The 13,660-nt window shown below is 38.0% G+C and overlaps 1 protein-coding gene and 1 pseudogene across 14 annotated transcripts in view; one reads left to right on the top strand and one right to left on the bottom strand.

Annotated features, from left to right (window-relative positions):
• REV3L (REV3 like, DNA directed polymerase zeta catalytic subunit) overlaps positions 1-13,660 on the top strand; it is a 184,679-nt gene that overhangs the window by 129,070 nt on the left and 41,949 nt on the right. For 13 of the 14 annotated variants that reach the window (NM_002912.5, NM_001286432.2, NM_001286431.2 and 10 more), the window contains 3 exons: positions 2,851-2,966; positions 5,306-5,424; positions 10,599-10,717. In NM_002912.5, the coding sequence (NP_002903.3) occupies positions 2,851-2,966; positions 5,306-5,424; positions 10,599-10,717 (354 nt within the window). Of the gene's footprint in view, positions 1-2,850; positions 2,967-5,305; positions 5,425-10,598; positions 10,718-13,660 lie in introns of those variants that run through there. The other variant, XM_047419220.1, reaches the window with a different exon arrangement.
• FCF1P5 (FCF1 pseudogene 5) lies at positions 459-940 on the bottom strand (annotated as a pseudogene).

Here is a 13,660-nt window from a genome sequence, read left to right as displayed (position 1 = left end):
AGAGGAAAAATGGAATCCTTTGGCTTTTGAACTTGAAAACAGGTGTTTTATCAGCTTTAAAAGAGTCTCTTACATCCTCCAGACTAAACATCCTCCGGGTCAAAAAATAAATATATATGTAATATATCTGAAAAAATGCCTGAAACAACTTTACAATTCTTCTAAAGGGACAAAATCTGTGAAATAAATCTGAGAAGCGCAGGGTAACTTTTTTCAGCAGTCATTTCTGAGCTGTAGCAGTTTATAAAAATAGACAGCTTTTTATCTGAGACGAAGTTATTTTCAATACATTATTTTTTTTAAAAAAAGTGTACGTAGCCAACTCCCTTAGTTGCCACAACAGAACAAATAGCTGACTGGAATAAGTCTTGCAATAACAAGATGTTGCATAAATGAGAAAGATTCAGATGAAGAAATTAGAAGAACTGTCTTTATAACATTTAAAACAGAAGGCCTGTGTAATCATCTGGCATCCTCTTCATGTTGTAGCTGTGTAACTATGTGATATGTGATAGGTAACTATGTGATAGGAACTCCAGGAATCTTCCCGATTCTTAAGATCAAGGTCAACTGTGGCCACACTGTAATGCCTATTCTGAGCCACTCTGAGTACTTAGCAGACAACTGTGTGGGTTCTGTTGTGTTTGTATGAGAATGCTTCAAGTCTGCGACCCCTGATGATCCTTAGAGCCACTTAATACTTGTGCCCCAATTCTCAAATGTAGCCATTCATTACACAGTTAGTTTTAAAGGGAGATATACTGGACAAGTAGATAGTCTGTCTTTGGACTAAGAAGAGTTTAATGAAAGAGATGAAGTCAGTATCAAGGATTTGGTTAAGGGTTTGGGTGTTATGTTGGAAGACTAAACAGAAAGAGTATTGGGATATTTCTCTTTCCTTGAGTGCCCTGGGATCTTTCTGGACTTCCTTTCTGGATATTCATGCCATTGTTGCTTATTGCTTTGCTTCAATAGCTGTTTATTAAATTAAGCCATTTTCTCAGAAATGTCAACCCTATTTGTATAGAGAAAAGCACATAAATAATATGTTTATTATCTTTTTCTCCTAACAAGTTTGAAGGCTGCTCAGCAAGTCTGTGGTATAACAATGGATCATGAACAGATCACCAGATATTAAAATTTATACTACAGAATGTACTTTCATAGGGCCTTTAGGGAATAGGAAAATTTAAAAGTGTGCTGTTGCAGAAGTTTGAACCCAGTTCTTTTGACATCAGCCACTGAAATACTCCAGAATTAAAAATCAGAAAACATTTATTGTGACATTCCAATTTTTATTGACTAGGTAAAAACGAAAGCCATTCAATACCCATTTTTAGAAGACAGCTATGGAATTATGATAAAATATTAACATATTGGTTCTAAAAGCAGATCTGGTGATCTGGTCATGATCCATTGTTATGCCAGACTTGCAGAGTAGCCATAGATAGCTTATATCAGTAAATTAGTCTAGTACTGTAGACATTGGCTGAGGCTTAGGGTATTAAATGCTGTAAATTGGACAGGCTGCACATCTCACAATTTAGTGTTTCATGAGTAGTTATGTAAAACTCAACGATTTAAATTTTTGTGATATTTCACTTGGCCTTTTGGCATTTATAAAGAACAAGATAATGCTACTAATTGATAGAGCTACTTACTGTAGTTTTTGCTCTCAAAACTTATAACTATAATTAGTTCCGCTCTCTCCCACACAATTTTCCACTCGAAATAAATTTTCATATTTATAGCTAAACATTTCTCTATGGTGGTCACAACATGGAGGTTCTAAGAGGAGCCACAAAGAGGCTCCTTCTGGATTGGACGCAGGTGGTCGGTTCAGTTTTGCCAGTGAAGCTCTGACCACGAGGAGCACATTTTTCTTCTAGATTCTGATGTTTACCTTCCCCACCTTAATCCCACCTCTATTAATATTTCATTCTTCCATTAAGTTGAATCACCATCCTTTTAAATTTAAAGGACAAACTTGTCATTACTTAGGCCTTATTTTGTGTGAGAACCAAATAATTACTAAAATTAAGTGAGAAAAGGAAAGCATTCTCATTTTTCTTTCTCAGCATTAAAACTGTTTAAGGGCAGTATAGATTAGAAGGGTAGATAAGTGGCAACACAATGACCTAGGGATCTTTTTCAAAATACCATACCCACACACACCCTCACACTTCACCTTCCCCTGCCCACATTATATTCTCACTTGTACCTTCACTCATATACTTCAGTGGTAATGGCCTGCCTTCCACCCCAATTTCCATCAGCCTCTTTTCCCACTTGTATCAAACAAATACACAGTCTAAGTAAAAATTATGTTTACTTTACAAAAATAGCGTCAAATCGCCTATAATCCCAGCACTTTGGGAGGCTGAGGCAGGCAGATCACTGGAAGTCAGTAGTCTGAGACCAACCTGACCAACATGGTGAAACCTCATCTCTACTAAAAATACAAAAAATTAGCCGGGCGTGGTGTGGGGCACCTGTAATCCCAGCTACTCAGGAGGCTGAGGCAGGAGAATCGTTTGAACCTGGGAAGCAGAGGTTGCAGTGAGCTAACATCATGCCACTGCAATCCAGCCTGGACAACAGAGTGAGACCCCATCTCAAAAAAAAAAAAGAAAGAAAGAAACAAAGTAGCTTCAAATCAAGTACTCTTAACCATCCATCTCTTCCTGTATAAAAACTCTGTAGGTACCACTGTATCATCCCTTCTCCATCTGGGCACCGTTAGAGAACATAGGTTTTTGTTTTCATACCTTATATCATGAAGAAACAATTATTCTGGTTAAAGGTTCAAATGTATGGTACTTATATAACTTTTTTAAATTCCTTTTTTAGGTATGATCCTGATATTCTGCTAGGATATGAGATTCAGATGCATTCCTGGGGTTACCTCTTACAAAGGGCTGCCGCTTTAAGTATTGACTTATGTCGGATGATCTCTCGGGTGCCAGGTATGTGTCATTGTGAATGTTTTGTCATTCAACTACAGAGCAAATTATAAAGGAAATAAAGACAGAATGTTAAAGAGTACTTATGCTGTAGCCCAATTTTTTAGTACTAAGTTGTGTAAGTTTTAGATATAGCATAACTCCATTGTAGAAAAAATTAAAAATAAAATAAAAAATATTCTAGTCTCACTGCTATATGTACTGTTAGTATAGTTGTTGGGTTTTTTCCTTTCAGTCACTTTTCATATACATATGTAGTGGTTTTTAAATAATCATACCGTATATTCCATTTTTATTATGCTTCCTTCATCTAGTGTCTTACCACACATATTTTTCTGCATTATGAAATAGTCTTCATAATTATTATGAAGCTACATAGCATTTCTTTGACTTGTTGTACCATAATTTTATTGTTTGTCTGCCTCTGTTTTTTTTAATCCATTTTGTTGGTTAAGAAGGACAGGATGGGTTGAGGAACACTAGTAGTTAACTAATCATTGATTTTTATTTGGATATCAGGCTACAAATATTGCAGAAATTTTGAAGTCCATTCCCCAAAGTTTCATTCTAACTAGAAGGGAATAATAATATTCATACCAAAATTATTTGTAGTTTATAATGCACTTTTTAAAACTATGTTTTCTTTATAAACATAGGATTTTTAATAAATTTGTTCCCAAGGGTTCCCACAAGTCTAACTAAAACAAAGTAGTGTATACTTTAGGAAAAGTTGAAGCTGGAAGATTCCAGGACAGTAAAGTTTTTTAGCTTTGCAAAAAATTGGAATAAAAAGATCAGGTGCAGTGGCTCACACCTGTAATCCCATCTTTGGGAGGCCAAGGTGGGAGGCTTGCTTGAGCCCTGGAGTTCAAAACTATCCCAGGCAACAAAGTGAGACCCCATTTCTACCAAAAAAAAAAAAAAAAGAAAGAAAATTAGCCAGGTGTGATAGCTTGTGCCTGTAGTCCCAGCTACTCAGGAGACTGAGGTGAGATGATTGCTTGAACCCAGGAGTTCAAGGCTGCAGTGAGCTATGATCACACCACTGCACCCAAGCTTGGGCAATAGAACAAGACTCTGTCTTATAAAAAGGGAATGGGGGGCAGAGATGCTTTAAGTTTAGCTTTTCATTCCATGAATTTTTGTGTAGCTTGTGTGTCCTTTGCATGATAGCAATAGTGGTATATCTTTTTTTTTTTTCAATATCTTTTTTGGGATAGGTTTTAAATATCCTTGTCTCAGTTTATTCATCTGTAAAATAGGGATAATAGAACTTATTTCATAGGGTTATTTTGAAGAACTTAAAACAATCACCAGAGTATATGTTACATTGTTTGCTAAATGAAAAACAAACTTTTAAACATTATCTCTTTAAAATAAAAAGAATTGGGTGAGTGGTTGTACATGGTCTTTGGATTCAGGTAATCCTAGTTTAGAATACTAGTTTTCTTACTGTAAGATCTTGGGCAAGATATAACATTTCTGAGTAGAATTTTCCGTAATACAAAATGAAAATTATACTAACTTCTTAAATGGTCCTGTTAAAATAAAGGAAGTAATGTTTGTATTAAAATAAATGATGTTGGTAAAATTCTTAGAACATAATAAACCTTCAATATGGTAAATATTTTTATTATTCTGGAACCTCTAATCATCAACATTCACATATACCTAGTGTTACATAGGAGAGACGCATTTTAATTTATATTCTAGGTAAACTTCATCTCCTAAGAAACTAGACTCACAACGCTATTTGCTATGAGGAACTCTTCATCTAGTTCTCCATATGCATTCAAGAGAATTTCATCCTGAATGTGAACATGATGTCAACAAATTTTCAGAGAATCGTTTAGGTTAAAAATTGAACTAGTTTTTTTTCCAAGAAATTACCAGATTAACTGTGGATCTTTCTCATGCTAAGACCAAAGAAATGTTAGCATTAGGTGTTTATAAAGGTAGCATCAGGCACCTGTAGTCCCAGCTATTCGAGCAGCTGAGGCAGGCGGATTGCTTGTGACCAGGAGTTTGAGGCTGTAGTGTGCTATGATTGCACCTGTGGCTAGCCACTGCACTCAACCTGGGCAACATAAAAAACAAACAAAAAAAGGTAGTGCCAAAAATTACCAAATCTAAAGAAAAAAGTGTTTCTTATTTAAATATAGAAAGAAGGAGGGAGGGAGAGACTTCAGGTTATATTTATTTCACAAAATTTTTTCATACATTGTGAATTATATTTCATCTTTAATATTCATCCTTAATGTATATTCTCATTTTCCCTGGCATAATTTTATTGAAAGTTTGTTTTCTGTGAGCCCTGATACAGTCTGTTTTCATTTCTATAGATGACAAAATTGAGAACAGATTTGCAGCTGAAAGAGATGAGTATGGATCATATACAATGAGTGAGATAAATATTGTTGGCCGAATTACACTAAATCTTTGGAGAATCATGAGAAATGAGGTGGGTGATTTATCCAAAATGTTGTTTAGAAATAAGATATTCGGTCAATATAATGATTTAATCATTATAGAGTATTAGTAAGATTTACTATATAGCTTATGCGTTTGTCAATTACTGTTATACTTAAGTAGAGTTAAAATAGTACTTTCTAAAATGCAAAACTACAGAGGTAATAGACTTTAATGTTTTAAGTGAGTTTTTTTTTTTTTCTTGTGTCTAAGGTAGCAATAACTAGAAAGGTCTATAGCTATAATAAAATATTGGGGCCAGGTGCAGTGCTCACACTTGTAATCTCAGCACTTTGGGAGGCCCAGGCAGGGGCATCCCTTGAGCCCAGGAGTTCCAGACCAGCCTGAGCAACATGGCAAAACCCTGTCTCTACAAATAATAGCTAAAAAAAATTAGCTGGATGTGGAGGCGCATGCCTGTGGTCCCAGCTACTTGGGAGGCTGAGGTGGGAGAATCACTTGAGCTCAGGCAGCCGAGGTTGCGGTGAGCTGTGATTGTGCCACTGCACTCAAGCCTGGGTGACAGAGTGAGACCCTGTCTCAAAATACAATAAAATATTGTGTTGTACATGTTGAATATTGTCTAATTTCACCGTATTTTTTTCACGGAAGTCATTTTTGCACTTAAGGCCAGATGAATTCAGCTGGCCTTGTTGATTTATTATAGTAAGAAAAATTTAGTCTAGAAATAGGAAGGAGCTTCTCAAATGAAGTATATTTAAATACTGGGTCAGATTAATAAGATAAAGAGACAGTACTTTGAAATAGTTAATAATTAAGGCTTTGGGAGCTCAGATAAGGATTTTTTAGTAGAGTAATTTCAATGAACTATCCCATTAATTTGCATTCACTTAGAAAAAGAATTATTTCACACACAAAAAGTAAGATCATAGGATTTTCCTGGGTAATATTTGCATCCTTGAAGTTACCCAATTTCTCTTATTTGAAATGTAAAAAAGCCATACATGGTGGCTCACACCTCTAATCCCAACTCTTTGGGAGGCCGAGGTAGGAGGGGATAGCTTGAGGCCAGGAGTTCAATCAAGACCATCCTGGGTAACATAGCGAGACCTTGTCTGTATTAAAAATAAAAAATAAAAAACAATTAGGTTGGGCATGGTGGCTCATACCTGTAATCCCAGCACTTGGGGAGGCCAAGGAGGGTGGATCACTTGAGCCCAGGAGTTTGAGAGTAGCCTGGGCAACACAGCAAAACCCCGTCTCTACCAAAAAATACGAGTTAGCCATGTATGGTAGCATGTGCCTAGCGTGTAGCCAGGCAACAGCTACTTGGAAGGCTGAGGTGGGAGGATCACTTGATCCTGAGAGCCAGTGGCACACACATACAGTCCCAGCTTCTCAGGAGGCTCAGGCGGGAAGACCTTTTGAGGCCAGGAATTCAAGGCTGCAGTGCACTGTTTTATTATGCCTCAAAGGCAAGGGTTGCAGTGAACTGAGATTGCACCACCACACTCCAGCCTGGGTGACAGAGCTAGAGCCTATCTCAAAAAAGACAAAACAGAAACAAAGATACCTACTATAAATTGGTCTATTCTTAGACTTTGGACTTTGGATAATGTCAACTAAAATGTTTATATTTAAAAGAAAGCTAATTCTTCAATTGCTTCTGCTCTTTGAAACTACTTTCTCATTAGACACTTTCTATTATATACTTATTATTATTATCTTCTTGGCTCTTTGGATTTATATAAAACATTTGACTTTCTAAGCTGCTGTATGCAGTATACAACATGACTCTGCTTGAGAATGATTTTATCTTGTTGTGTTGTTCTTAAAATAATAGAAGAGTGTTAGAGTCCCCAGTGATTTAAAGTAATTTCTAGTGATACAGCACAGGATATAAGAGATACAGAGATTGTGGTGTATTTGGTGTGTATATTTCATTATATATATATATTTTTTTTTATTTTATTTATTTATGAGACGGAGTCTTGCTCTGTCACCCAGAATGGAGTGCAGTGGTGCAGTCTCGGCTCACCGCAACCTCCGCCTCCTGGGTTCAAGCAATTCTCCTGTCTCAGCCTCCTGAGTAGGTAGGATGACAGGTGCCTGAACCACACCTGGCTAATTTTTGTATGTTTAGTAGAGACACGGTTTTTCCTTGTTGGCCAGCCTGGTCACAAACTCCTGACCTCAAGTGGTCTGCCCACCTCGGCCTCCCAAAATGCTGGGACTACAGGTGTGAGCCACAGCCCAGGCCTCATTATATATTTTAATGTATAGTCTGATATTGCCTGAGATGAGCACATACTTTAAGTGTATAAACACAAAGTAAATTACTGAATCCTAGTTTCAGGGGTCTTTTCAACCCTGTATATCCAAAAGGCAACAGTAGCAAATTAACTAGTAGCTTAAAATTGCAAATTAGAGAACAAATATTTTTGCAAAGTTTAGGGCCTTCTCTAGTCCTCACTGAAAATTCAGGGTCAAATGTTTCCTCTCATTTAGGATGAATATATAGTATCTCTGATCTTTATGCAAATGTGGGAAACAACTGTAAGAAAGTTATGAGCTGGGTAACCTGTTTTTTAAAAATTTGGAACTGGGTACAGTGGCACACACATATAGTCCCAGCTACTCAGGAGACTCAGGCGGGAGGACATTTTGAGGCCAGGAATTCAAGGCTGCAGTGCACTGTTTTATTATGCCTGTGAATAGCCTGAGAGATAAAGCAGGACCCCATCTGTTAAAATAATAGTAATCATAAATTTTGTTTGTTTTTTTAATATACAAGTACTAGATTTCTTTCTCTTACTTTACTTTGAACATAGAACTCCTGCAGTTTCCTTATGGACTTTGAATTCGTAGTGACAAGCAAAATACCTCTTAAATAGTAATGCTTATTAGATATTTGTTGACTGCTTAAATGACAATAAATAGCTCTTCCCCAGACAGTTATACTTAGAGGCCTTCTGGATGTCAAGTCAATCTAGGCTTTTCAAGAATTTGCCAAGTGGGTTGGAAACAGACTTGATTCAATTCAACAAATATTTACTGAATGCCATCTTTGGTGCACTGGTTGAGGGGCCTGGGTTTAGATAAAGTAAGAGTATAGTAACAGACAGGAAGGCGGAATATATGGGTATGGATGTTGGTAGGTAGAGATATGGCAGTGAGAATCTGTGGAAGTTCTCTTGTGATTCATTTTCTCAGTAAAATAGGAATTACTGTTCTTAGCTAAAACAGAATTGTGGAGAGGCTTTTGGGGTTTGAGGAGAGATGAGTTTGAAATGGTTATTAGGAGAATTTGAGAGAAAATATAAACACTGGGCCACATTAAGAGCCCATTTGAGATTTGGGTTAGGAAATTAAAGTGATACCCACCAGCTATGTTCAAATTCACAGGTGCAAGTTAGATTTAACCATCACTCACAAAGGGTTATGGATTTGCTTTAAAAATTAAAAAAAAAAAGGCGGCAGCAGCAGGAAAGGGACAAGGGAATGAAGGGTACATGCAGGGGAATGATTACCATGATTGACTATGAAATTTAAACTAAATAAGGAGCAGAGAGGTCAGAGCATCAAGGGGAGTAAGCTGGAAGCACCGGAGATGATGGTCAGAGAATGGGATGCATGAGATTTTGGAGGGAGTACAGCTGTTGATAGATCCTGGGGTATGATTATGGGAGTGGGTAGCTTAGGTAGGATGGAGGACAAAATCATTAGAGAAGAGGAGTTCAAGGAATCAAGGAGTATCTTTATTTTCTTCCCACATAATTGTTACACTTACTGCATATAAAATAACAGTAGTCCTTTTCCTTTAAAATTCAAGTAGATATAGTGCCATTCACCTCTGGAATTTAGTACTGCAGAGGAGAAATCTAAGGTCCAGCTAATTAATATATTTGATTATTGCTCCTGTCTCCATATTAGGCTTTCCTTTAGGAACCTAATTATATATTAACATTCTGTTCTCTGTTCCCCATATCTTCCCTCTTCTCATTTTCATGTTTTCATCCTCTTTATCTGCATGCTGAGACATTTCCATATTCCTAACTTGACTTTTAGTAGAACTATTTAGTAGAACTGTTCTGCTATTTACTGCTTTCAATATGAGCTTTCATTCTGTTAGTGATTTTATAATCCTTCCTCATTTAATCTTGTGGCCTTTTCCTCATTCTATTGCTCTCTACCTTTTTACAACCTATGAGGGGCATCTGTGTATATGTATACCTACACAAGTACATACACACACTGTGAAGTGTGCTGCATTGTAGTGCCATTGTTCTGAAGATTGACAGAAATTGTAGATAAAGTAAGACCAATTTGGGTCACTGCACTGAGATAAGATTAACATTCAATCCCTATTTTGTACCTCCTGGATCACAGGAGTGGAAAAGAAAGTAATTTAAAATTATAATGTAATATACAAATGTGAAGTGCTGTTTGAACTATTTCTGAATCCGAAACTGACCTAAGAATGGGGACTACTGGTTCCTTAATTTCCATTTTGCATTGAAATACCTGCCATTGTCTAGATTGCTTTTGTCTTGTAGATATTTCAGAGAAATCATCTAGCTGGAAGTACATATTTATTAATTTGGGCCCTTTTACAGTATCCTTTACCCATTAACACTGCTTTCACTTACGTATTTGGAACATGGGGAGACATTTCTGACATTTTAGTATTTTGCTTTTGGAATGAAATTGAGTGGCTCTATAATGTCTGTGTAGTGGGGTCTAGTAACTAATGTAATTATTGGGAGGAGAATGCCTGCCTTTAACTAGATAACTCACCTCAAATCTGTGGAATCCCATTAATCAGCATGTCATCAAGAACCAAAAAGTAAGTATGGAAAGAACAAAAAATTAATTTGCTTGACAATGCTTCTGTCAATATGTATATTATCATGGAGTATAAAAATGGTAAGAACTAGAATCTCTTAAAATAAGTATTATATGACCAAGTTGAATCTCATCAGGTCTGCTTTCTCTAATTAAATAATTTTCCAATTTGTTATGAACATTTCTGTCCAGTAGGCTCTACATAGTTTTGAATTATGATTCAGTTGTACTGCACATCAGTTTTACAAGTAGCTTTAATATCTACTATGAAAAGTTTAAAGTGATATTGGTATCTTTTAGAACCAAATTTGCTACATAAATGTAAGCATTATTATAATGGTGTCTTGCCTTTTTTTTTAGGTGGCTCTAACTAACTACACCTTTGAAAATGTGAGCTTTCATGTTCTTCATCAGCGTTTTCCCCTCTTTACCTTTCGAGTCTTGTCAGACTGGTTTGATAACAAGACAGATCTATACAGGTACTGTTCTATAACTCTGAAGAAGGTAATATAAAATCATCATTGAGATGTAATTTATATGTAATAAAATGCACACATTTAAAGTGTATTGTTCAGGCCAGTTGCGGTGGCTTACGCCTGTAATCCTAGCACATTGGGAGGCCGAGGCGGGCACATCACCTGACATCAGGAGTTCGAGACCAGCCTGGCCAACATGGTGAAACCCCATCTCTACTAAAAATACAAAAATTGGCCAGGTGTGGTGATGCATGCCTGTAATCCCAGCTACTCAGGAGGCTAAGGCAGGAGAATCACTTGAACCCAGGAGGCAGAGGTTGCAGTGAGCCGAGATCGTGCCACTGCACTCCAGCCTGGGCGACAGAGTGAGACTCTATCTCAAAAAATATATAAATAAATAAAGTGTATTATTGTTCAATGACTTTGAAAAATGCATTTATCTTGTACTCATTACTCCAATCAAGATAAGGAGCATATCTCACACCCAGAAGATTCCCTTCTACAGCTTTGCAGTCAACCTACCCATCCCTAATCATCTAGATAATTACTAATTGGATTTCTATTACTGTAGATTAGTTTTGCCAATTATAGAACTTCATATTAATGGAAATATTCATAATCTATCTTGGCTTTGAAGAAACTCAGAAAACATAGTATGTATTTCTGTTGCATAAATAGTTTGTTCATTCTTATTATTAAATAGTATTCAATTATATGAATATAACTTACCCACCCACCTGTTGATGGACATTTGGGTTGTTTCCAGTTTGAGGCTATTATGAATAAAACTGCAATAAAGATTTGCATATGAGTCAGCATGTGAACATACATTTTCATATCTCTTAGGAGTAGAATTACTGGGTCATATGGCTGTTGTGTGTTAACATTTTAAGAAACTTAATCTGTTTTCTTTGGCAAGTCTGTTGGCAAAAAATTATCTTAGCCCTTGTTTATATGAAGATGTCTTTATTTCACCCTTATTTTTGAAGGATAATTTCTCAGTCTCAGTTGCGTTTTTTTCTTTCACCACTCTAAAGATTTTGTTCCCTTCCAGCCTCTCATTTTGCTGATGAGAAGTCAACAGTTATTCTCATTTTTCCAGTATTTGTGATTCATTTTCTTTCCAAAGTCAGATTTAATGAGTGGTTGACCGATGTCACTTTTTACTCTCTGCAAGGTTTATAGTGGAGGCAGGGGGAGTTTCTCAGTTCTCCTGTCTAACCTCAGTCTTTGGATCTTCCTGTTCTTTTTTTTTTTTTTGAGACAGAGTCTCGCTCTGTCACCCAGGCTGGAGTGCAGTGGCACAGTCTCTGCTCACTGCAAGCTCCGCCTCCCGAGTTCACGCCATTCTCCTGCCTCAGCCTCCCGAGTACCTGGGACTACAGGCGCCCGCCACGACAACTGGCTAATTTTTTGTATTTTTAGTAGAGACGGGGTTTCACCATGTTAGCCAGGATGGGCTCGATCTCCTGACCTCATGATCCGCCCGCCTCGGCCTCCCAAAGTGCTGGGATTACAGGCATGAGCCACCGTGCCCGGCCTGGATCTTCCTATTCTTCTGGGGTTTGCTCAGCACTCCTGCTCTTCCCACAGAGGCAACAGACCTCTGCTTTGTACCACTGGCAGGTCCTGGGCCCAAGTAAGCTTCCTGACCCTCCCCCTGGGGCAGATAGCATTTTCTTCTACTCCTTTCTCAGTGATACTGTTCCTTTGCCTGGAATCTATGACAGGAAGTTTTCTTGCCCCTTTTCCAGTTGCTTGTTATTTAGTTCAAAGCCTATGGTTGGAACAGGCAAGTATACCAGGCCCAAGGTGTTTCCTAAGCTCCTCCAACTTGATGTAGGATTCAATCTCCAAACTCTGTCGTCTGTACATATTGTCAGTATTTGGTTTTAAGTTTTATCTAGAGTAGGCCTTTCTCTAGGGCAAAGGCCTCTGTTTTTTTCTGGGCTCACAACTGAATGCCAAGGTTGTTAACAAGGGGGTGATGAGGTCTCTCCACTCTGGCATTGGTGAGCCTCCAACCCCAGCACTATCTGACCATTTCTGCCCACACTCAACCCCCAGCGAGCTGCTCTTTATTCAGCCTCATGTGGTTTCATCCTGTTCGTTTTCGGGACAGCCTTGAGCTATCACTCATAAGGAATCCAGCTATACTTCTGACCCCCCCCAACTCCTGCCACTTGCACAGCTCCCTTTCTCTCCTGTGCTCCGTCCCACAGACTCGAGCTGTGAGCTGCCTAAATGAACTCTGAGCTGTTCATCTTTGGCTTAGTAGGACAGCCTTGCTCTGTGTAGACTGTGGCACACTGCACTGTGTCTAGGAAAAGTCCTTAAATTAATGTGTCTAATTTTTTAAATGAGTGAATCTGTACTTACTGAATTGTAAGGCTGTATGGTGGTGAGGATGGAAAAAGTATAGCTTTGAAAACAACTTGATAATATTTGGGGAAACTGCTTCCTGAGCATGTCATCGCATATTCCAATCACTTTTGAGGAATCTCAGGGAAGTGAAGTGAAGTAACAGAAAGCACTTAGCTTCTATCAAAGCCTTATAGAAATAGAAGCTGAGGCGAAGTTGGCTGAGTGCAGTGGCTCACGCCTGTAATTTCAGTGCTTTGGAATGCCGAGGCGGGCGGATCACCTGAGGTCAGGAGTTCGAGACCAGCCTGGCCAATGTGGTGAAACCCCATCTCTATTAAAAATACAAAAAATTAGCCGGGCATGGTGGTGCACACCTGTAATCCCAGCTACTCGGGAGGCTGAGGCATGAAAATCACTTGAACCCGGGAGCAGGAGTCAGAGGTTGCAGTGACTAAGATCACGCCACTGCGCTCCACTCCAGTCTGGGCGACACAGCAAGACTCCATCTCAAAAAAAAAAAAAAAGCTGAGGAGAAATTATACACCAATAAATAAAACTTGATATTTAACTTAACATTGAAAA

Source organism: Homo sapiens, chromosome 6 (genome assembly GCF_000001405.40).
Source record: "Homo sapiens chromosome 6, GRCh38.p14 Primary Assembly".
In the NCBI taxonomy this organism is placed as follows: Eukaryota; Metazoa; Chordata; class Mammalia; order Primates; family Hominidae; genus Homo; species Homo sapiens.
Note: the sequence above shows the minus strand (reverse complement) of the source record. Positions and strands in the feature narration are given on the sequence as shown.